A 24,874-nucleotide genomic window follows, 5' to 3' on the forward strand; every position below is an offset into this window, starting at 1 on the left:
AGCCCTAAGTCCGTGTAAAGAAACCCAGGAGGGCTTCCAAGCCAGCACGGACGGCCGAAGATCCTCCAGGGCTTGCGGCCACTGCGGTTCCATCTGCCTGTGCGGCTCCCACCTCTAACTGTGGCCACCGTCTTCCCAGTGCCCCATAGTTTGCTCATGGGGAGATTCCTGGTGATCATAGGTCCTCTGCAGCTATCTGAAGGGTGAGTTGATGAATGAACAGACAGGTGAATGGAGGATGACCACGACAGTTTCTGGAGGGCCACAGGTTGGGCTGGGCTGGGCGCCTTGAGAACACGTGGGTTCTTGTTTCTCCCGGAGGTCTGGCATTCCCTGGTAGCATCCAGAAGGCCGAATGCACCTGAGTGTGCTCTGCCTTCCCTCTTAGTCTAAGCCTTATTATTTGTTTAATTATTAATTATTATTATTATTATATGTTTTTTAAAGACAGGCTCTCACTCTGTCACCCAGGCTGGAGTGTAGTGGCGCCCTCATGGCTCACTTCAGCCTCCAACTCCCAGGCTCAAGTGATCCTCTCACCTCAGCCTCGAACTCCCAGGCTCAAGTGATCCTCTCACCTCAGCCTCCTGAGCAGCTGGGACTACAGGTGAGCAACACCATGCCTGGCTAATTTTTTTTTTTTTTTTTTTAATATACAGATGGAATCTCACTGTTGCTCAAGCTGGTCCTGAACTCCTGGGCTTAAGCGATTCTCCGGCATTAGCTTCCCAAAATGTTGGAATTACATGTGTGAGCCTCCACGCTGGGCCCCATAGCCTAAGTTTTTTTAAATGTAATTTTTTTTGTTGTTGTTTATTGAGACAGTCTCGCTCTGCTGCCCAGGCTGGAGTGCAGTGGTGTGATCTGGGCTCACTGCAACCTCTGGCTCCTCCCAGGCTCAAGCGATTCTCCTGCCTCAGCCTCCTGAGTAGCTGGGATTACAGGCACTCGCCACCACGCCCAGCTAATTTTTGTATTTTTAGTAGAGACGGGGTTTCACCATGTTGGCCAGGCTGGTCTCAAACTCCTGACTTCAAGTGATCCACCTGCCTCAGACTTCCAAAATGCTGGGATTACAGGCATGAGCCACCTCGCCCATCCTCAATATATATTTTTCACTGAGATCTAAATCACATACCATAGAATTTTAATGTGTACAGTTCAGTGGTTTTTAGTCTTTTCACAATAAATTGAGTTTTTGAGTAGACAATGCATTCATATGGCTTAAAATTCAACGATTACCAAGGAATATACACGGAAACATCTTCCTTCCCCGCATCCCGCATACATAGATCATATTATCTATTTCTTGACTATACTCATAGATATTTTATGCAAATACAAGCAAATGTATTCCGTCCCTTTTTAATCTACATGGTGGAGAACTATATGTACTGTTCAGCATCTTGCTTTTTTACTTAACTTGGAGGTCCTGCTGGTACCGAGCTTTCTCATTCCTTCTGGTGGCTGCCTGGTATTCTAGTCTATGGATGGATAAATATTTATTGATGGATATTTAGGTTGTTGCTACACCTCAGCTTTTGCAAACAAATGCTGCAAAGAAGAACCTGGTGCATGAGACATTTTGCATGTTCGGGCAGATCTGTAGAAGTAATTCCCAGAAGGGCGCATGTTTTTTACATTTTGACAGTTCTTGCTAAATGGCCCTTTATAGAGGTTACACCAGTTTTAATTCCCATCAGAATTTATTTCCAAACCTATCATGAGATACGCCAGCACTGACAAGAATCCTCACTGCGGCATTGTTCATCGCGCCCCAAACTGGAAACAGCTCAATCGATCCTCAGCGGAACGGAGAAATCATGGCCTCTTCACGCGATGAAATATTATGCTGCAATGAAAAGAAACAAAATTCTGCTGCACACGGCAGGGAGGAATCTCCTAGGCGGATTGATGAGTGAAAGAAGCCAGACACAGAACGGTCCTTACTGCATGATTTCTGTGATATGACTCAACCCCGAAGTCAAAAGGAAGACGCAATCTAGGATGACAGTGATGGAAACAGAGGTGACCCTTGGGCGGCAAAGGGAGTCTGCTGAGCGTCTAGAAACGTCGTATATCTTGTTCGGAGTGATAGCTGTATGGGTGCATCAGTGTGTGAAAACTCACCGAGCTACGTGCACTTTACTGATGGAAGTTGCACCCCAACAAAAACTTAAAGGGTTTAAAAATATTGCCCACACTGACGCGCAAACAACACGACCGCCCCAGCAGGCAGACTCCTCCGATGCAAAAGCTTAGGTGACAGGCTGTCTTTCTTTTGTCCAGTCCTGAGCCAGATGTGGGTTCTGGGCCAAGGAGGTGAAGCACGAGGCTCCCTCTGCTGCCTCCAGAGCTGTCCAGGGTTCCCCTCTGCGCCCCCAAAAGCGCAGGGTCACACCAGTCGGGGAGGAAGGACCAGAGCGACTCTGCGCCCTCACCCCACCGCCTCCTTCTCTGTTTGCTCTCTGACCGGTGCCGTTTCATTGTTCCCTTCCTGGACGCCATCCCCTCGTCCAGACAATTCCCTGCACCAGCTGCCAAGCAGCTGCCTGGCTATTTATAGCCTCTGTCATCAGCCCCTTCCTCCCGCCCTTGGCCCTACTCCTGGGACCACTCTCCCTACCCCCACCCACTTTCCAAGGGTCCGGCTGTGTCCAGCCAACCAGGAGAAGAGTGGGGACAGTAGAGGCTGAGTTCGTTGACAAATATCATACAACACAATTTTTAAAATGTTTCTGGAACATTCCAGGACCCGTTGTTGTGGGGAGGGGCCTGCCCTTGCTGAGCTGGTCCCTTGGTCTCCTGAGGTGATCTCAACTGTGTCCATGGCTTTTGGACAAGGTGAGACGAACTTAATTCTTTTTTTTTTTTTTTTTTTTTTTGAGACAGAGTCTCGCTCTGTCGCCCAGGCTGGAGTACAGTGGCGTGATCTCAGCTCACTGCAACCTCTGCCTCCTGGGTTCAAGCGATTCCTGTGCCTCAGCCTCCTGACTAGCTGGGATTACAGGTGTGTGCCACCACACCCTGCCTGTTTTTGTATTTTTCAGTAGAGGCAGGATTTCACCATGTTGGCCAGGCTGGTCTTGAACTCCTGACCTCAAGTCCACGCCCCTTGGCCTCCCAAAGTGCTGGGATTACAGATGTGTGCCACCGCGCCCGGCCTGTAATCCTACTGGCCGTCAAATCCACTTTAAAAGCAGTAAAGGCATTTGACTCCTTCCTGTTTCTCGTTCCTTCTCACCCCCACTCAGGCCATCTCCCCTCGCCCCACCACTTCCTCCCTGCACCTACCTTTCTTCCTTCCTTTCTCGGTGAAGTGAAGGGTCACCTCTCATTGTGGAAGAAGGACTAGTAAAGCCAGCTTTAAATGAACATTACTGGGTTGGCCTATGCCAGGCAGGCGCGAGGTCTCTATTCCCCATGTGACAATCAAGCTGGGTGCGTTCACGCCCAGGATGCTGGGGTTGTCCCACCTCTAGGTTTGGAGTGGGACGACGAGGAGAAGCAATTTGTTCAGGAGCAGAGAAAGTTCGCTTGGCTGTGACTCATCGCCTCTCCATTGAGAGTCTCCGGCGGGTCCGTGATCATCGGACACGATCATGATCCGTCCTCAGGCCCCGCCTGTGCAGAGTGCGCGGAGGCCAAGGAGTTATTGGCAGAAAAGCAAGAGCGGAATGAGCTTGCGTACTTGAAGTCTGTGGCCGTCTGCCAACATCTCCTTCAAATATGAACATTCTTATTTTCGCTCTGGAAGTTTTTGTCAGGTTTATTGCAAATGCAAGGGTGGTGAGCAGACAGAAAGAAAATGGTATTTACTGAGCTGGAAGGACTGTTTTCTCAACCGTTTCTCAAGAGCACGCAAGGAGACGTGCACTTTCCTGGGTGACATCAGGTTCTCCGTGGGGATTTTAATCCAAATCAGATATGGCCTTGTTTTACGAGGGATCCTCTTGGGTCTCAGGGTGTGAGGATTCATAATAAGTACACGTCCATCCAGTACATGGCGAAGACCATTGTAAGCCACCCCTGGAAACACATACAAGACAGATGGGCACGCAGTTCACAGGATAGCGCAGAATTCTAATGAATTTCATTGGCATCAAATGTTATGTTCCTGTAAACTGAGAGCCATGAAATTAGAATGAGTGCCTCACAATAGTTCAAAAGTGACTCACTTCATTGAAAAAACGTCTCGGAAACATAAATTGGTAAATCAAAACTAAAACTAGTACCCTTTAAAAAAAACTGAGAATGATGTCCCTAAGTTTTTTTTTTTTTTTTTTTGAGACGGAGTTGCGCTCTTGTTGCCCAGGCTGGAGTGCAATGGCGTGATCTCGGCTCACTGCAACCTCCGCCTCTTGGGTTCAAGTGATTGTCCTGCCTCAGCCTCCCGAGTCACTGGGATTACAGGCACCCACCACCACTCCCAGCTAATTTTTGTTATTTTTAGTAAAGAGGGGGTTTCACCATGTTGGCCAGGCTGGTCTCAAACTCCTGGCCTCAAGCAGTCCTCCTGCCTTGGCTTCCCAAAGTGCTGGGATTACAGGCATGAGCCACCGTGCCCGGCTGGGATGACTATTTTAATCTCAAGAGAGCCATCTGGGTTCCTTCCAGGGCACAATTCTATTTAAGGATATACTTTCTTATTTTTACACAAGTTTGATAACTGGATAAAAAAAAGACGAACTTTTTTTTTTTTTTTTTTGCATGGACCAAAAAATGTAGCCATAAGAGCATTTGTTAATACGCACGTCTAACATCCTCCTTCCCACCTCCCTGTGCAGCACAAAGTGGTAAAGACAGCAAGAATTTTCTTTCTAAACAGTTGGGCTGAAATTAAACAACAACAACAACAAAAACCCAAATGCCCATTCTCCTCCCAGCGGAAGTACAACCTCTCTTTGTATCATGTTACTCATCCGCTGCACACACCTGTTCATCCAACAACAGCTAACAAAAGTCAGACTCCGAGTTAAGCGATGTACACATCACAGTTTGTGCTGGAAATCTGATCCAAGCACATGGACAGAACTTTCTATGGTTCTCGGCTCCTAAGCTTGGCAGCTTGTTTTCAGCGTATTCTTAAAAACCTAGGAAACTGGCAATCATACTTCTAAGTTAAAAGATTGGGAAATCAGGCCAGTGAATAAATACTTACTTTGGATCTGCACTATTGATGAAAAATAAAAAATCACTGGAAAAAAATGAGCCCCTTTCTTCTATTTTTGCTCAAAGCAGTCCAAAGAAAACAAGTTTTGGTTCACTGCTGTCTGTGAGCTCAGTGTTGAACAAATTCCAGCAAAATCACAGAGAAAGTTGGAACCAGATTTGCAGCGCTCTATCTCATACATGTTTCTTCTTCTTCTTTTTTTTTAAGAGACAGGGTCTCGCTCTGGTGCCCAGGCTGGAGTGCAATGGCACAATCACAGTTCACTGCAGCTTTGAACTCCTGGATTCAAGCGATCCTCCTGCCTCAGGCTTCTGAATAGCTGGGACCACAGGCACGCACCACCACCCCCAGGTGCCTTTTATATCATTTGTAGAGATGGGGTCTCACTATGTTGCCCAGGGTGGAGTGCAGTGGCATGATCATAGCTCACTGCAGCCTCCAACCCCTGTTGCCAAGGCTGGTTCCAAACTCCTGGGCTCAAGTGATCCTCCCACTGTGGTCTCCTAAAGCACTGGGATTATAGACGTGAACCACCACAGCTACCCCGTGGTTCTTAAAAAGGGGTCTCCTTAAAAAGGAAGCTTCACCTTCCTTTTTGGTGTGAGGGAGACAGACCGTCAGGGAGAGGGCACTTTGTTCTTCTAATTGCCTTTCTGCAGAGGTTCCTGCTCAAGGAACGGGACGCCTAAACCTCAAATCCCCAGTGGCATTCAAGGCTGCTCGCAGGCACAGGGCGTGTTCTGGCCAATCCTGTTCGAGCAAGGGGAGCTGACATTGGCCCAGCACAGGCAGGCTGCACAGAGCTGCAGCCCATTCTTCCTGGAAGCGCCTGCATCAGAGCCAAGGACAGGCCACCTAGTAGCAGTGTCCCTGGAGCCTGGTGCTTGGCTCAGTACATTAAAATGCAACAACCAGGCCGGGTACAGCAGTTCATGCCTGTAATCCCAGCATTTTGGGAGGCTGAGGTGGGCGGATCACTTGAGGTCAGGAGTTCGAGACCAGCCTGGCCAACATGGCGAAATCCCATCTCTACTAAAAATACAAAAATTAGCTGGGCGTGGTGGCCTGTGCCTATAGTCCCAGCTACTTGGGAGGCTGAGGCAGGAGAATCACTTGAACCTGGGAGGCAGAGGTTGCAGTGAGCCGAGATCGCGCCACTACACTCCAGCCTGGGCGACAGAGCGGGGCTCCATCTCAAAAAATATATACGTATTTCACAGATACAGTCCTTCCTCGTTTTGGTAATTGACAGAGCATAAGCAGTTTTTAATTTTTTCAAATTTACAATTAGGCTCCTGCACGGCAACTCTCTTCCTGTGAACTGAAGGGAAACTTGGAGTCTCCCTCTCCACAGGGTTCTCGTCTTCTGGAAAAGAGAAGATGGGAAAATGCGGATAAGAAGAGGGTTAGAGGGGAGGAAAGAAATAAAAACCGAGCAATTTCTAGAAAACATGATGATTAAAAAAAAACCATCCACGCTTTTGGAATGGACGGATTCTTTAACACCTGTGGATTTCCTTATTCTGTGACTAGCAAGCTCCCAAGCCCACAGGTAGGAAGCTTCAGCCAGTGTGTGTGGAAAAAACGCCGGTTTTGGGATACGACGGACAAGTCAGAAGCCTGCTTGAACCGCCGTCACCCCTTTGCAGCCATCCAACACCACGAACAGCAAAAACATCAGGTTCTGGCAACCTGTGGGGACAAAGTGACCATCAGCACGGGGAGGTCGCTGTCAGAGCCGCGTCACAGCTCTTACGCCTCCCAGAATGGTTTTTGGTGTGAGGATTGCTGCATGGATTGAGAAGGTGGAATTTGATTGGAATAACTGGATCATCTCACGGATGGCTGAATCCTAAAATGCCTACAAAGCGTGAAACTGACTCAGGATTTCACAGAGGATGGTAAGGCTCTGATTTTTCCACTTGGCACTCATCTGGGTGTTATCATTAGCACTTTGGTTTAATGCTGCAGGGTGAGGAGGATGTACCCAGAGGCCCCACTGACGCACCCCGTCCAGTGGCTTCTGACATGCAGAGCTGCAGGACGGGCGTCGCTGAGCTGGCCGGGGCAGGCTGGGAGCTGAGCTTTGCAGACACTGGGTCCTGGTGAACGACGATGCTTCGACATCCACTCTTCTGGGCATTCCCAGCCTGTCCTCTGCTCTGTCCCTGCCCTCCCCTAATTCCAATTGGTGGGATTGGGTGGGGCTCTCTGGGCCCCACACTGGTCTGAGAGCCTGGCGTGCTGCTGCTGGGCCAGCCCAGGAGCGAATGGATGAAGTTCCTCTTTCTGAGCCGGGATCAGGCCCAGAACTCCCAGCTCGCAGCTCGGGCAGCTGCCTGGTGCTGAAACCAGAAGGGACCTCCGGGACTTAGTGGCAGCTTACAGGGAATGGCTAGGAGTGTCTCCCTCTGGGCCAGTGAGTAGGGTCCAGACCAGGAAAAGCGTCAGAAACGGAACACGAGGTTCACCAAGAAGCCAAGGGGGCCGGCTGAGGGCCAGCATCGCACGTTGATGCTGGGAGGTTGCTGCTTTGCAGGAGTAAGGGAAGGAAGAGGCCATCTCAGAGCAGCCGCAACACTGGAGTCCACACAGGGGAGCTCTTGGCAGAGCCATCCACAGCGATGATTACTGTGGACACAGATGGGGAGGCCCTGTGTGTGAGGCAGTGACAGAGCCATTGGTTGGGAACACAGCCAACTCTTTTGGAGTTTTGTTAACTATCCCGAGGTAGAGGCTGAGGGGGACACGCCTACATGTCATGCCACAAACTTAGCGTACTAGAACATGCTAGATTTTCTCTCAAAGCACGCAGGTCTGAGCCTGTCATCATTCTGCCAGTATAACAGACAGGTGAATGAAGAGACGGGGGAACTTGGAAATGAGGGGCTGAAAAGAAGAGAAAGTGGACCCTGGTACTGGCTGTGTAAGAAAAGTAAATAGTGACCCAGAAGAATTTGGGTCACGGTCTGATTCATACAATAAATTCATTTTGTCTCATTTGAAATATTTTAGGAAAAAGGCATGCTTTTATCCAAAATTACGTCAAAAATTGCCTCAAATGTCTCTCATTAAAAAAAAAAAAGTAGTTGGACCAGGCGAGGTGGCTCACGCCTGTCATCCCAGCACTTTGGGAGGTGGAGGAGAGAGGACCACCTGAGGCCAGGAGTTTAGGACTAGCCTGAGCAACATAGTGAGACCTCATCTCTATAAAATAAATACATAAAACAGTTGCACCTTATCTTCTTAGCTCTTAATTGAATTAATGTCCTGAAAGTTCACATAAATGACATTCTTCAATATTCAAAAAGAAGCCAAAACAAAACCCAGTCTCCAGGCATCAGGTTGGATGAGGACTTTAGAAGTCTACGGATGTCCTTCATTTAGGTTTGTTTGTTTGTTTGTTTGTTTTAGACGGAGTCTTGCTCTGTTGCCCAGGCTGGAGTGCAGTGGCGCGATCTCAGGGCTCACTGCAACCTCTGCCTCCCAGAGGTTCCAAGCACTTTTCCTGTCTCAGCCTCCAGAGTAACTGGGATTATAGGCGCATGCCACCACGCCCAGCTAATTTTTTTGTATTTTTAGTAGAGATGGGGTTTCACCATATTGGCCAGGCTGGTCTCAAACTCCTGACCCTGTGATTCACCTGCCTCAGCCTCCCAAAGTGCTGGGATTACAGGGGTGAGCCACCACACCTGGCCAAAATTTAGGTTTTTTTAAAGCTTAAAAAAAATGTTTTGGGGTCTTGCTCTGTTGCCTAGGCTGGAGTGCAGTAGTGAGATCATAGCTCACTGCAGCTTCACCTCCTGCGCTCAAGCGATCCTCCCAACGCAGCCTCCCAAGTAGCTGGGATCATATGTGTACACCACCGTGCCTGGCTAATTTTGAAAAATTTTTCGTAGAAAAAATTTCTACAAGATTTTTTGTAGAAAAATTTGTAGAAACGAGGTCTCACTATGTTGCCCAGGTCTCAAACTTCTGGGCTCAAGTGATCTTCCCGTCTCAACCCCACAAAGTGCTGGGATTACAGGAATGAGCAACTGCACCCAGGCAAAGTCATATTTTTTTTCACCTGAGAGCTCCAATTGCCACGAAAATCTCAAATTATATTCTATGATAATTCAAGTTAAATGGGCAAGTAATATTTCTTTTCTTTCCTTCTAAGTGCCTGAAATACTAGAAATACACAATAATGGCTTTTAAAAAACTACCTAACACAATAAAAAATTGTGATAGAATTTATTGTGTAATCAACAAGTTAGGGAAAACTGATTTTGCATTAAAGGAACATCTTCTGTTTCTGTTAAACAGCAGGAAGGACAAGACACCAGCGCAATGAGCTTTTTTTTTTTTTTTGGGGGGGGATGGAGTCTCCCTCTGTCTCCCAGGCTGGAGTGCAGTGGCATGATCTTGGCTCACTGAAACCTCTGTCTCCCAGGTTCAAGCGATTCTCCTGCCTCAGCCTCCCAAGTAGCTGGGATTACAGGTGCATGCCACCACACCTGGCTAATTTTTTTTTTTTTTTCTAGTAGAAGCTGGATTTCACCATGTTGGCCAGGCTGGACTCGAACTGCTGACCTCAAGTGATCCGCCCGCCTTGGCCTCCCAAAGTGCTGAGACTACAGGCGTGAGCCACCGTGCCCGGCCAGCAATCTGTCTTTTCTATGGAGGCACAAATGTGCAGCAAACCTTGCCTCTCCCCTATGACCATTTGGATAATTTGGTTACTCTGTAGACACCGAGTTGAGGATTTTCAGAGATCAGGCTTATTTGAGCAATTAAACATTTCTCCATTCTAAGCATACACTAGATAATAAATATTCCACACATAATTTAAGCAATGAATCTTATGAAAAGAGCGACGGAGGGAGAAGGGGGAAAATACATTTTTCCTCGTGGTCACTTTCTGAACTACTGTCTAAGCCTGACATTAAACTCACACCCTCCCCCTCCATCTGGGTTCTTCGTTCTTTCCTTGAAAAGGAGGAGGAAGGAAAAGAAACCGTTTGGCTGTAATACCGCGCTCTGTTTCTGGCTGTTACCAGCAAAAACACTGTGGCCAATGATGCCCAGTTAGAACCTGGGCTTTCTAACCTGATAAACAGAAAAGCCTTCTGCCAACACTTCAATGGGGCATCCTGAGGCCAGAGGAGGCTCCAGGGGTTTTCAGCTCGTTGGCAGAAAAGCATAGCATAACAGCAGACTATCTTCCAGGTAGAGGCATATTTGCGTATGTGAAAACAGAATTTACTGGCGGAAAAGTCATTCTCTTGAAGTCAAAGCAGTGCCTGGTGATCTTGTTGCTGAAGGTTTATCTACAGTCCTAGAGTCAGGGAGGGGGAGGGTGATGGCGGAATGGGGGTGGAGGCCACAGGCGGAGTGCAGAACCGTGGCATCCTGGGGCTTGAGGAAGGCAGGTGTGTCCTTGGAGAAGAATAAATGTCCTAGAGACGCAGAACCAAAGCTGGAGCTGGGCTGAGCTGAGACCCGAGGGTTCCCACAGGCCAGTTCTGGAGGAGATAGAGAAGGCTAGAAAGCCGTGGAGAATACGGGATGGGGGTCCTGGGAGGGCAGGGCTAGGGGGCGGTTCAGGTGCGTCTTGGCACAAGCATGTCTGTGCCCCCGGGCGTCCTGAGCAGAGCGGGGTGTCAGGGCGGGGCGCGGGCATTTCGCTCCTCTCTCCCTGAACCCTTTCACATCCTTCCCGATCCTGTTTTGCGTTATCCCAGGATCACACGCACAAATCCAAACAAACTTTTCTGGTCCCGTTCATCTCCCTCTCATCCTAGAGGGCACGGATTTTGTTTGATGAGAAAATAAAGAAGGTCAGAGGGAGACAGGACACAGAAACAGCAGCTCTCGGGAGGGCAGCTGGAGGCCGGGCTAGGGCTGCCTCCACTGTGCCAGGGCTGGGGGGGATTGGCAGAGACGTCTGGGTCCCCAACCATCGGCTCTTCCCTCAAAGAGCAGCGGGGGCTCTGCGGGAGGATACACTACCCTGAAAGACTCTCACCAGCCAACCCAAGCCAGTGTTTGTTCTGCCTGGCTCTGGGACCCTCCCGCCAGGACCCCAAACACTGCCGAGGGAGGAATTTTAAAAATAAAATGGATGGGCCGGGCACGGTAGCTCACGCCTGTAACCCCAGCACTCTGGTAGCCTGAGGCGGGCAGATCACCTGAGATCAGGAGTTCAAGACCAGCCCAGCCATGGTGAAACTCCATCTCTACTAAAAATACAAAAAATTAGCCGGGTGTGGTGGTGTGCACCTGTAATCCCAACTACTGGGGAGGCTGAGGCAGAAGAATCACTTGAACCTGGGAGGTGGAGGTTGCAGTGAGCCGAGATCGCGCCATTGCACTTCCAGCCTGGGCAACAAGAGTGAAACTCCGTCTCAAAAAAAAAAAAAAAAAAAAAGAAAAACAAAAAAAGATGATCTTATGGGCAGCAGCTGCCATGAGCTCCTTCATCAAGGAACCAACACAGAAGTGGTGCAGTTGTTTTCTCTGAATCTTTCTCGTCGGTTACTTTTTTTTTTTTTTTTTTGAGAGAATCTTGCTCTGTCGCCCAGGCTGGAGTGCAGTGGTGCAATCCTGGCTCACTGCAACCTCTGCCTCCTGGGTTCAAGCGATTCTCGTGCCTTAGCCTCCAAGTAGCTGAGACCACAGGCACCCACCACTACGCCTGGCTGATTTGATTTTTGTATTTTTAGTAGAGACAGGGTTTCACCATGTTGGCCAGGCTAGTCTTGACTCCTGACCTCAGGTGATCCTCCCGCCTCGGCCTCCCAAAGTGCTGGGACCACAGGCGGGAGCCACCATGCCCTGCCTCGGTTGCTTTTTATTCAGAGGTTGAACTCTCCATAAAGCCATGGACAAAAAAATCATCTTGCATGCGTTAGGGTTGACGTTAACAGCCCTATTTAAAAATGTTGGCCAGGCACGGTGGCTCACATCTGTAATCCCAGCACTTTGGGAGGCTGAGGTGGATGGATCACTTGAGCCCAGGAATTTGAGACCAGCCTGAGCAACATGGTGAAACCCCATCTCCACAAAAAATACAAAAACCAGCAGGGCGTAGTGGCACGCACTTGTAGTCCTTGCTACTTAGGAGGCAGAGACAGGAGGATGGCTTGAGGCCAGGGAGGTTGAGGTTGCAGTGAGCTGTGATTGAGCCACTGCATTCCAGCTTGGATGACAGAGTGAGACTCTTATCTCAAAAAAAAAAAAAAAAAAAATGTCCGTACTTGATTCCTCATATCTGGAAAGTCCCTTCAGTTTATAAGTGGAATTCACAGTGGTAAAGCCACTGGGACAAGCACAGCTTCTAATCACAGCTGTTTCTCAAATGCTCTCATGTATTGCAGAAAATTTAACAACCTAGGTAAATTAAAAAACCTAAGTAAAGGGAGTTTAGGGCATTATATGGCACACAGTAGTCGCTTGACAAATACTGGCTGGATGTTACTTATCTGTTGGAAATAATTCAACTAACATATTTGTGTACTGAAACGTTTTTTAAGCAGCTCTTCAAATATATTTAGATAACTCACACATTAAATTCTAAAATATAATTTTGATTAAAAATGCATGTATCAACGCTGGGCACAGTGGCTCATGGCTGTAATCCTAGCACTCTGTGAGGCCAAGGCAGGTGGATCACCTGAAGTCAGGAGTTCGAGACCAGCCTGGCCAACATGGTGAAACCCTATCTCTATTAAAAATCCAAAATTTAGCTAGGCGTGGTGGCGCATGCCTGTAATCCCAGCTACTCAGGAGGCTGAGGCAGGAGAATTGTTTGAACCCAGGAGGTGGAGGTTGTGGTGAGCTGAGATCGTGCCACTGCACTCTAGCCTGGGCAACAGAGTGAGACTCTGTCTCAAAAAAAATAAATAAATAAAATAAAAACGCATGTAACAATGAGTAGCATTAACATGCCAAATCAGGTTTCCAGCGGAGAGTCCAGAAACGCTAGGAAACCTCATCTGCAGAGAGTTGGAATGAAAAGTCATCTCTCCTCTGGTTACCGTGGATCAGGGGCACTCTATTTGCATTCGTGGACTCCTGAAATTATATATAAAATCAAAAGATTTGGCCGGGCACGGTGGCTCACTTCTGTAATCCCAGCACTTAGGGAGGCTGAGGCAAGTGGATCACCTGAGGTCTGGAGTTTGAGACCAGCCTGGCCAACGTGGTGAAACTCTGTCTCTACTAAAAATACAAAAGTTAGCCAGGCATGGTGGCACGAGCACCTGTAATCCCAGCTACTCAGGTAACTGAGGCAGAAGAATCACTTGAACCTGGGAGGCGGAGGTTGCAGTGAGCTGAGATCGCACCACTGCACTCCAGCCTGGGCGAGAGAGCCAGACTCTGTCTCAAAAAAACCAAGCAACGAAACAACAACAACAAAAAATCAAAAGTTGTTTTTATGTGCATTTTTTCTGGACAAAGTAACCATAACCTTCATCAAACTATCAAAGCCTTTGCGAGCCAAACCTGTCCCCACCCCGGAAAAAAAACAATGAAGAATCCCCGCTGTTGACTGAGACTCTAACAGGCACGCGGATTACTTAACTCACATCTCCTTCAGACTTTCAGGGCCAGCAGGGATACGAGAATTCCCTAAGCTTAAATTACTCTAATATTCATTAACAACTCTTTAGAGTCATGATATTTAAAAAAACAATTTTTAAAAAGGAACTGTATAAAAATAGACACTTGGGAAGATTTTAAATGTACATGTCCATTGCGTGCAAGTGTGTACTTTTTCTTAATCGCTTCCTCTTGGCTTTCTCCGGTTAGTTTCACTTTCCCAGTACGCGGGATCTATTCCAGGTGGCCACAGCCATAGATTCCCACAGTGGGGGAAAAGCAACCATGTGAACAAGATTTCAGATGAAAGAGAAACCACAAATGATCAGTTCTGGGGCTGATTGCAAAAATTAGAGGCTGCCTTTCTTGGCTGTTTGAGAAATCCTCTAAGTCACTGGGTGCCCTTTCTAGTAGAAAGACCCACGTTCTGGCTGGGCGCGGTGGCTCATGCCTGTAATCCCAGCACTTTGGGAGGCTGAGGAGGACGGATCACTTGAACCCAGGAGTTCGAGAACAGCCTGGCCAACATGGCAAGACCCCGTCTCTGCAAAAAAATACAAAAATTAGCTGGGCATGGTGTTGCGCACCTGTAGTCCCAGCTACTCAGGAGGCTGAGGTGGGAGGATCACCTGAGTCAGGGCAGGTCAAGGCTGCAGTGAGCCCTGATGGTCACTGCACTCCAGCCTGGGTGACAAAATGAGACCCTGTCTCCAAAAAAAAAAAAACCGAACAAAACCTCCATTCTTACAAGACCCTCAAGGCAGCAAGGACGGGTTATTCCCTAAGCTGGAAAGGTGACCAGGGAGGCCTGCAGTGGCGACTCGGGAGGAGAGTGACCTCATCAAACAGCAACCTCATTGGCCCCGGGCTCCAGCAGAGAATCAGCTGGAGGCTGCACCCCCGCAAGTCCATGAGCAACCACCAGAAGCCATGAATTCAGCTCCCTTTGTGGAGTCTACAAAAGAATCTTTGTGCCCTGAAGTTGGTCATAAATACTTAACTTACCAGGCCGGGCACAGTGGCTCATGCCTGTAATCCCAGCACTTCGGGAGGCTGAGGCGCACGGATCACTTGAGGCCAGGAGTTCGAGACCAGTCTGGCCAACATGGTGAAACCCTGTCTCTACTAAAAATATGAAAATTACCCGGGTGTGGTGGTATATGCCTGTAATCCCAGCTGCTAGGGAGGCTGAGGCACGAGAATTGATTGAACCCAGGAGGCAGAGGTTGCAGTGAGCTGAGATCGCACCACGGCACTCCAGCCTGGGTGACAGAGTGAGACTCTGTCTAAATAAATAAAAATTAAAAAAAAAATAACTCATCAGGAAAACCCCTACAGGGGAAGGGGCTCTAACCCCTGGAAGATCCATAGTTTGGCCTCAGATGCGGGAGTGTGGTGAACTCCCAAGAAGTGTAGAAAATGGCATGTGTGTTTTTCTGGGAAGAGGCTCTATGACTTTAAACAGATTCTGAAGGGGCTTTGTGACTTCCTCAAAACACCTGGGACCCCAGTGATCTGTGTACCTGCAATCACTCTTTCCTTTTCAGAAAACCTACTTTTTCCCCCTCAATTCCTTCTCTAAGGATGTTGCAGAAAACTATTTAGGAGGCCTGACAGGGAAAATCTCACAAGCAAAACTTGTCCTGCAACCTTACTTTTATTGTTTAAAAAATTCTGTGTAAAAATAAATACTTTTCAACTCAAGTTAACTGGAGCAAATAGATCCAATTAAAAAAATAACATAAACACAAACAGGGTTTTCTACTTGCCCTGTTTCTGAAGTCATGACGTGAAAGAAAGGCAAACCCACCCAGGTGAGCCACAGATCGCAGAAAACACGAGCTGTCCAAGGAAGACCGCCCTCCTCTCTGAAGCAGTGCTCATCTTTTCAATAAGAAAACACCAGGCATCATATATTTAAATTTTAGAATATTTTAATGTCCATTTCTTCAGTGAATGCATTTTGAAATTATTAGAATTAACAATTTAAAAAGAGCAGATAAAAGGATATATGGAAAATGCAAACAGTCGGTTCTTGCTAATTCAATTTCAGATTCTAGGCATGATGTGATTTTCCAAACAACCAATTAAAAAAAACTCCTTACCTCGAAAATCTAGAAATTCAAATGCAGACGTGTCTTTGGAAACTACAAATGATTACAGCCCATGTGACAGGAAGCACGCGGCCTTCGGCTCTCCGGATCGTGTGCAAATGTGCAGGGGGAGCCCCCGCGGGTGACGTCAGTGTGGATGAAGTCACGGGTGTGGCAGAGCCTGTGGGGCTCTCAAGCTATTCGAGGGTTTTGTAACTGATGCTCTACATTTGTTTGCATTGGATAAAATTGTGTGTGCTTGTTTACCATATATATATATATATATATATATATATATATATATATATATATATGGATATATAATTCGATCTGAGCTGGGACTGAGAAGAAAATAGCAATTGCAACTCAAAGCAACTATTTACACACATTCAATGCTGAAGTATTGCTTCCTGCCCTAAGTTCCTAAGAGGTATTGCCACCCTGAAGCACGACCCATGCCGTCAGCAGCCCTCGTGCCAGCTGCTTAGAAACTCGTGTCTCCAGCACGATGTGCTCGCTGCCAACAGACAAGAGATGCACGGCGTTTCCGCTGCAGAGATTCTGTGGTTCTGCACTGAGGTATGCATCGGAGCAGGGGACGGGGAGGACCCGAGGGGCTTCGTGGCCCAGAGAGAACGTCTGCACTGGCTGTTTAGGAAGGCTCAGGGTGTTTGAAAGACAACGTTAAGCTCTGGGTGAGTCTGCACGGGGCTGAACCAGACTCCACTTTGCAGCTCCTTGGTTTCCCGGGGTGAGGAATCACAAACACCTTTGTGGTTGGGGAAGGAAATGGGCTTGATGGGGAAGAAGTGTGTGCGGAGAACTTTGCGGAGCATGTTCTGAGCGAGACAGCAAGGTCGTGAGCAAACGCCCAGCCCCTCAAAGCTACACAGCCTGGAGGGGAAAGGGGAGGGGAGGACATTCAAATATACACCTTAATACTGATGCAGAAAGAGCTTCATGTGACCACAATCCCCACGAACAAGGAAAGCATCAGGTAGTGTTTTTTAAGGAAAAAAAAAAATCTGCGGTGTTTTATAATACATTCTTTAGAAGCAAGAGGTATTGTCACAACCACCCTTTCTTCGGTATTGGAAGACCAGCAAACTGACAGTCACACCTGACAGGAAACCTTACAGCTAATGGGGGGAGGTGCCCTGGACTCTCAGGACGCCGGGACCCTGGCTCTGGCTGTCCTGATGGGTGGCCATCCCAGGCACCGCCCCTGGAGAGGTGGCGGGTCAGAATTGTGACTTCTTCATGCCGGGGAGGGCAATCTGTATGTCTCTGGGGAGGAGTAGTGATGATGGGGACTGATGCGGTGTGAAAACGAGACAGTGAGATTTGACAGCGGAAAGCAAAATGCACAGGGACAACGGGCAAGACTGACAAGGAGTGCACCCTGGGCCTCATCAGCGTCCCGGGGTCCCCTGAAAGACTGGCTACAACTCCGACCGGACAACTCGGGCGAGCTCACTTCCACACAAACTTCAGACTCAATATGGCAAAACATAATCAGACAGGACCAGCAGCCAACTGCCCGGACGGAGCTCCCCCACACCACCCTCGGGATTCCGCCCCTAACAAACCCCGCGTTTGCATCCAGATGCCTCTGTCCCTAGATACGGTGTGAGAACTCCATTTCAGAGCTGGAATTTGCTCCCCAGATTAAATCCTGCCACTGATAGGCCCTGTGCCATCTGAGAGCGGGAGGCAGCCAAGAAACTTCTGGAATTTGTGGAAGCCAAGATGGCACCGGTGCTGCCGGCACAGACCCCCGTGGTTCTGAGCTGGACCCCGGCAGGGAGGAGCCCCCGTGGGTGGCAGGGGCAGCTGGTGGGCTTCTCCTATTCCCCTAGCCTCAGAATTGCACTGGCCATGCTTTGAGGTCCCACTCAGACCCCTCTTGGGGTGGGGAGGTTGGGGGCGGCCCCAGGTGGCCAAAACACAAAAGAGACATCTGGTTACCTTCCTGGGAACTGCCCTCCCCTGTGGCTATGACCCCCCACCCTGAGGACCCAGCACCCCTCCCGGGAGCGCACATGCTTCCGGGTAAATAAATAAATAAATAAATGCAACCTCGGATGTTTATTTGGTATTTCCCTCTCCGATGAGTCAGCTTCCAGGACCAACACCTCCACTCCCGATGGGGAGACCCCTGGGTGGAGGGTCGGGGGTGAGAGGCGGCTCTGAGACCCCCGAGGCCTGGGCACACGGGCGTCGTGCCCGGCTGGCATTTGCTGTCTTGGCCTGCATGCATGTGGGCGAGCCCCTAAACCCGCTCAGTGCAGGGAGCGCGGCTCACCCACAGCCCACGGGGCGCGGTGCTCGGGAAAGTGCGGGTGGGCAATGGGGGGTGGCGGAGCTGTCGTGACATGCCCCCTTCGCACCCCCTCTTGGCGGATTACTGGCACTTTATATCAGATTCATGAATGCAAGTGTGTGTGCGCATGTGTGCTTACATAGAGAGGTCGGGTCGTAGAGGAACACTGTGACATAGACAGAAACAAAATAAACTCAAAAACAGGGTATTAGCCAGAGAACCGAAAATAGTGTCTCGTGGGACGTGGGAAAAAGCAATAAAAATGAGATCTTAACCACAGCTTTTGTTCTAAAAGTCAAATAATACCCAAAGCCATGATCTCCACTGGCGGCCTCTGTCCCGAGACTCGAGGCCGAGGCCAGCCCTGAAGGCACTTGTTCTCCACCACGTGCTGAACGGATGACCCAGAGGCAGCGGGGTTTCCAGGGAAGGGAGCGAAAGGGAAGAATGGATGAAAATGAACCCTGAATAACTGTGATCCACACAGAAGTTAGGGCTGAAATGACCACATAACACCACGTCCGGGGAGGGCAACTGTGGCGCTTGGAAAGCACAACAGCCAAATACAAATATTACTGTGTTTCGACAAACAGAGCACCTCGGGCAGCGGGTGGGCGCCGCCTCACACACTCTTTGAAACGTTGAGCTTGGTGAGTTCGTTGGCTTCTTCTATTCCTGTTTCGTCACAGTCGTCTTTCTCTATGGCTTTGCCAAATCGACCCCTTTCTTCGGCTTTGACGGGCTCCTTCCACGGTCTCTTGGGGGACAGGTGGGCATCCTTGGCCTGCGTGCTGCTGTCAGAACCCAGAGATGTCTTGTCCACATACTGGACAGAAGGCACCAGGTTGGCAATCTCGTCTGTGGGAGACCGTCCGATGCTGCCATCCACCTGGACGCGGATGTCTGGGGAGATGGACAGCTGGTGCTGTGGGATGACCCTGTGATCCGTGCACTTTGGGTACAGGTAGGTCTTCATCTGGCCTTTCCCCTTGACATTCACGGTCCCTCTGTAGTCGAAGTCATAGCCCATCTTGCTCAAGACGCGGTAGCTCTCTTCGCTCACCTGGATGCGGCACTCCACGCCGGTGGTGTCCATCCTGCTGGCGATGTTGACGGTGTCTCCCCAGATGTCGTACAGCAGCTTGGTGGTGCCGATGACCCCGGCCGTGAGGGGCCCATGGTTGAAGCCGACGCGGAGCTTGAAGTTGAACCACAGCATGTTGTTGTTGAAGTCGTCCACCACGCGCATCATCTCCTTGGCGAACTCGAACAGGATCTGCAGGTGCTCCTGCGGGTGGCTGCCGTCCTGGGCCTGCGCGGTGTTCAGCCCTGACGCCGCCATGTACGTGGCTCCGATGGTCTTGATCTTCTCGATGCTGCTGTAGTCCGGCTTGCTTAGGAGCTCGTCAAAGTCCCCGATGAGCTCGTTGAGGACCCGGTAGCACTCCTTGCCGCCCTCGTAGTTCTCCTCGTAGAACTCGCTGAAGTTGACGATGCTGGCGAAGATCACCCCTCCGCTGTCATGGTTCTTGGAGTAGGTCTGGGACACCTTCAGCTGCTCAGCCACGTGGTAGGGGATGATGTTCCTCAGCAGCCAGTCTGCCTGGTCCCGCATGCTCTGGATCTTGGTGCGGTGAAGATCCGCTTCCACGTCTCCGTGGTAGTGGAGGCGGTAGCTGACTTCAAATTCGCGATTCAGGAACCAGACCAACAAGAGCAGGAGAAAGAAGACGAGAACCACCTCCTGGCCGATGAGGCTGGCGGGCCGCCGGAGGTCACGCGGCACCGAACTATTGCACGGGTTCCTCTCGGAACTGGAGAGCAAAGACACGGGAAAGGGAGAGGTTACTGCTCGGCGCTTCCAAGCTCAGAACAGCCCCGCTAGCTACGCAAAGCTTTGTTGAGTCCAGGCCTTCAACAACCTGAAGCTGTCAAGCTGCCCATTCCTGGTTTGGGCTGGCTGAAGGTATGGAGGGATAAAGACTAACTTTTGAAACTGATTGATTTCATTTTGTTAAATAGAGGTGGGGTCTCACTGTGTTGCCCAGGCTGGTCTTGCACTCCTGGGCTCAAGCAATTTTCCTGCCTTGGCCTCCCAAAGTGCTGGAATTACAGGCGTGAGCTGCTGTGCCCAGCCCTGTAACTAACATCTTTAGTAAGTGCTTGGTAATCGTTTTTCTTTTCTTTTTCTTTTTCTTTTTTTTTAGAAGTCTTTAGCTTCTTTCAAAAATCTTTTCTTTTCTCTCTCTCCTTTGTTTTTTTAGAGACATGGTTGTTGTCCAGGCTGGAGTGCAATGGCACAATCATGGCTCACTGCAGCCTTAAACTCCTGGGCTCAAACGATCCTCCTGCCCAGCCTCCTAAGTAGCTGGGATTACACGCATGTACCACCACACCTAGCTAATTAAAAAATTTTTTTTTTGAAGAGACAGGGTCTTGCTGGTTGCCAAGGCTGGTCTTAAACTCGTAACTTCAAGCCATCCTCCCACCTTGGCCTTCCAAAGTGCTGGGATTACAGGCTTGAACTGTGCTTGGCCTAACATCTTTTTTTTTTTTTTTTTTTAAGATTGAGTCTTGCTCTGTTGCCCAGGCTAGAGTGCAGTGGTGCGATCTTGGCTCACTGCACCCTCTGCTTCCTGAGTTCAAGTGATCCTCCTGCCTCAGCCTCCTGAATAGCTGGGACTATAGGTGTGTGCCACCATGCCTGGCTAATTTTTGTATTTTTAGTAGAGACAGGGTTTCATCATGTTGGCCAGGCTGGTCTCAAACTCCTGATCTCAAAGTGATCAGCTTGCCTTAAAGTGCTGGGATTACAGGTGTGAGCCACTGCACCCGGCTTTTTGCTGAATGAACTTTTTGAAAGTAAGTTGCTGACATGGCACTTCAGCTCTAAATATTTCAGCATGTATCTCCTAAGAATAAGGATATTTCCCTATGTAACTACAATATCATCATCATACCCAAGAAATTTAACATTCTCTGATATATTTGGTTCTTAGATTTCTTTTTTTTTGAGACGGAGTTTTGCTCTTGTTGCTGGTGAGATCTTGGCTCACTACAACCTCCGCCTCCCGGGTTCAAGTGATTCTCCTGCCTCAGCCTCCCCAGTAGCTGGGTTCACAGACATGTGCCACCACACCCAGCTAATTTTGTATTTTTAGTAGAGACGGGGTTTCTCCATGTTGGTCAGGCTTGTCTCAAACTCCCGACCTCAGGTGATCCGCCCACCTCAGCCTCCCAAAGTGCTGGGATTACAGGTGTGAGCCACCGCGCCTGGCCTTGGTTCTTAGATTTCTAATCCAATAAACTTATCATTTTACAAATAGCTTTTATGAGTTCTATACTCTCTACCTGTATAAAAAAGTTTGACAAGACGCCATCTCCCCTGATTCTGGGTTAGTTCTTTTTGCCGAAATCACTCAGGACAATGCTAACATCTGAACCAGTGCCATTATTTTCTCATGGCTGTGCAGTGTTCCAGCACTCGGAAATTCTGTAATTTAGCCAGATTCCCCCTGATGGAACTGGGCCCGAGTCTGTCTTTTCTTACCACAAACAGTGTCACAGGGAATATTCCCCTACCCCTATCTTTGTGCGTATGGAAGTGCTGAGTCATTTTAAATATTGCACATTTAGAATTTCCTTAGAAATTTCCAAATTGCCCTTCTAAACAAGGCTGAACCAGTTTCTGCTTTTTTTTTTCTTTTTTTTGAGAAGGAGTCTCGCTTTGTTGCCCAGGTTAAAGTGCAGTGGCGTGATCTCGCCTCACCACAAACTCCGCCTCCTGGGTTCAAGCAATTCTCCTGCTTCAGCCTTCTGTGTAGCTCGGACTACAGGTGCACGCCACCATGCCCAGATTATTTTTGTACTTTTACTAGAGACAGGTTGGTCTCAAACTCGTGACCTCGTGATCCACCCGCCTCGGCCTCCCAAAGTGCTGGGATCACAGGCGTGAGCCACCGCGCCCAGTCTCTGCTCCCTTTGATAACTGAGCCTGCTTTCAGCGGGGCTGTCTCCACTTCAGTGGCACTGATGGAGACAGCCATGGTCAGGGGGCTGCAGATGAGTGGTGAGTAGCACAATTTCTTTTTTTCTTTTTCTTTTTTCTTTTTTGAGACAGAGTCTCACTCTCTAGCCCGGGCTGGCATGCAGTGGTGTGATCTCAGCTCACTGCAACCTCCACCTCCTGGGCTCAACGATTCTTGCGGCCCAGCCTCCTGAGTAGTGTGCGCCACCAGGCCCAGCTAATTTTTGTATTTTTTTTTTGGTAGAAACGGGGTTTCACCATGTTGGCTGGGCTGGTCTCAAACTCCTGACCTAAAGTGATCTGCCCGCCTCGACCTCCCAAAGTGCTGGGATTACAGGTGTGAGCCACCACACCTGGCTGAGTAGCACAATTTCTTAAAGTTTGTTTGAAATATATATATATATATATATATATATATATATATATATATGTATTTTTTTTTTTTTTTAAGAAGAGACAGGGTCTGTCTCTGTCATCCAAGCTGGACTGCAGTGGTGCGATCCTAGCTCACTGCAGCTTTGACCTCCCAGGCTAAAGCGATCCTCCCGCCTCAGCCTCCAGATTAGCTGGGACTACAGGCACACACCACCACACCTGGCTAATTTTTTGAACTTTTTGTAGAGATGAGGTCTTACTATGTTGCCCAGGCTGGTCTCAAACTCCTGGGTTCAAACTGTTCTGCTTCTGCCTCCCCAGTGTGCTGGAATACATTTTTTCCCATTTAAAAATACTACATACTCATCATAGAAAATGTAGAAAAAAATAGACAAAAAAGATTTGTCCATCGTCCTGCCATCCAGAGGCAATCACTATTAACATTTGTTGAACTGCATTCTAGTCTTTTTCTTTTTTACAACACCGTGACTGTTCTGTTCATGTAAATGCTGTACCCTGATGCATTCCTCCCGCGCACAGAGTAGGCCAGTTGATTTGATGCAATAATGGGCTTGGTCACTATATACTTATATATGCGACTGGCGGATCCACAGTTTAGACAGCTCCATCACACTGGAAAGCTCAATTCTTTTTCTTTTAGAGACAGGGTCTCGCCATCTTGCCCAGGCTGGTCTTGAACTCCTGAGCTCAACCAATCTGCCTGCCTTAGCCTCCCCAAGTGCTGGGATTACAGGGATGAGCCACCACGCCTGGCCAAAACTCAATTCTTCTTTTTTCTTTCTTGCTCTGTTGCCCTGGCTGGAGTGCAATGGCGCGACCTTGGCTCACTGCAACCTCCGCTTCCAGGTTCAAGTGATTCTCTTGCCTCAGCCTCCCGAGTAGCTGGGACTACAGGTGTGCGCCACCATACTTGGCTAATTTTTGTATTTTTTAGTAGAGACAGGGTTTCACCATGTTGACCAGGTTGGTCTGGAACTCCTGACCTCAGGTGATCCACCCGCCTTGGCCTCCCAAAGTGCTGGGATTACAGGCACGAGCCACCATGCCCGGCCAAAAGCTCAGTCCTTTAATCAAAGTGTCTAATAAGTTTCACTAACTGTTCTTGGGATATTAAAAAACAATGAGCTTGACCTGTGTGGCCATCACGGCCCTCTGCGAAGCACAACCGCCAAAAGCCCTGGCCGTGGGTGGAACAGAACCCCTGGGCCCCATCCTGGCTGGACCGCGGGGGAGTTTCAGAATCTTGGGTAAGCCATGCCATCTTTCTGGGTCTCAGTTTCCTCGCTTGTAAGCTGTGAAGATGGACTGGAGCATGGCTACGTCCCTTCCAGCCTAAGGTTCCGTGCAGGAAAGGCCTGAGGCTGCCATCCTTGGAAAGACCTGCCTGCAAAGGTGGTGGCTGGCACCAGGGAGCTGGGATTTGGGGAGGGTTCCTGCCATTCCTTGATAAGAGCGGCTCACACTGCCTACACTGTCTAAATAAGGAGGTTTACGCTGAATACCCGCTTTCCTGCTGGAAGTCTGGAATTTAGGCACGTGCTGGGCAGAGGCGGGAGACCTGAACAGCCCCTAATACAAGCCTGGACACCGAGACTTTAATGAGCTTCCCTGGTAGGCAGCATGTTACAAGTGTTGTCACCACTCACTGCTGGAGGAATTAAGCCCATCCCGTGTGACTCTACCGGGAGAGGACTCTTGGAAGCTGGTGCCGGCTTCCTCCAAACGTCAACTCACACACCCTTCCCTTTGCTGATTCTGCCTTATGTCTTTTCGCTGTAATCACAGCGGTGAGAGAGCAGATTGCGGAGTCCTGAGTCCACCTGGGGCTGGTCTTGGGAGCCCTGATACGGGCTTTGTGACTCAACGCCTATGACCAGGAACCAAGAGTCCTCAGTGGGAAGACACCCTGTGCTTCACTGACTCATTTCGTGAACTGCTATTGAAACAGATGACATTACATATCCTACATCTCAAGTACTAAGCAAAATAACCATTTGTTACGATGATGACTCAAACATATTTCTGTCCAGCTCCATGAGCCCTCTGGTTGATTGTAAATAGAGCAGGAAGAGAATATGGACTGGGGGAAGGTTTTGTGAGCCCCGCTCGTTGGGTTAGGAGTTGACCTTTCTTTTGGTTTCTCAAAGTGGTGACACCAAGAACAGTCCCCTTTAGGAGCAGGTGTCACCAAGGTCTAACATCCCCATTATGTGCAGGGGGTGTTTCCAGTCTCTGTGGTGGAAATGGGAGACTGTATCTGGGCTTCTCAATCAGTT

The 24,874-nt window shown here is 49.1% G+C and overlaps 1 protein-coding gene and 1 long non-coding RNA gene across 4 annotated transcripts in view, besides 1 other annotated feature; both read right to left on the minus strand.

The window, feature by feature from the left end:
* Nucleotides 1-631: 631 nt before the first annotated feature.
* Nucleotides 632-3,467, minus strand: TRIDDENT (TRIM28 interacting DNA damage repair enhancing non-coding transcript). The gene is made up of 2 exons (NR_120311.1): nt 3,295-3,467; nt 632-1,852 (listed from the first exon to the last, which is right to left on the minus strand). It is a non-coding gene; the product is annotated as a TRIM28 interacting DNA damage repair enhancing non-coding transcript (long non-coding RNA).
* A 2,942-nt stretch (nt 3,468-6,409) lies between these two features.
* ADCY9 (adenylate cyclase 9) overlaps nt 6,410-24,874 on the minus strand; it is a 163,056-nt gene continuing 144,591 nt past the window's right edge. For 2 of the 3 annotated variants that reach the window (NM_001116.4, XM_005255079.4), the window contains exon 11: nt 15,676-19,989. In NM_001116.4, coding sequence (NP_001107.2) covers nt 18,798-19,989 — 1,192 coding nt within the window. In that variant the 3' untranslated portion in view covers nt 15,676-18,797. Of the gene's footprint in view, nt 6,540-15,675; nt 19,990-24,874 lie in introns of those variants that run through there. The other variant, XM_011522353.3, reaches the window with a different exon arrangement.
* Nucleotides 14,567-15,066: an enhancer, noted in NCBI's record as "H3K4me1 hESC enhancer chr16:4011545-4012044 (GRCh37/hg19 assembly coordinates)". NCBI's record gives its function as "activates a minimal SCP1, AML or CMV promoter by ChIP-STARR-seq in naive H9 embryonic stem cells {active_cell/tissue: H9 hESC(naive)}" and the evidence as "EXISTENCE:reporter gene assay evidence [ECO:0000049][PMID:30033119]".

The sequence above is a fragment of the Homo sapiens genome, chromosome 16 (genome assembly GCF_000001405.40).
Source record: "Homo sapiens chromosome 16, GRCh38.p14 Primary Assembly".
Taxonomy (NCBI): Eukaryota; Metazoa; Chordata; class Mammalia; order Primates; family Hominidae; genus Homo; species Homo sapiens.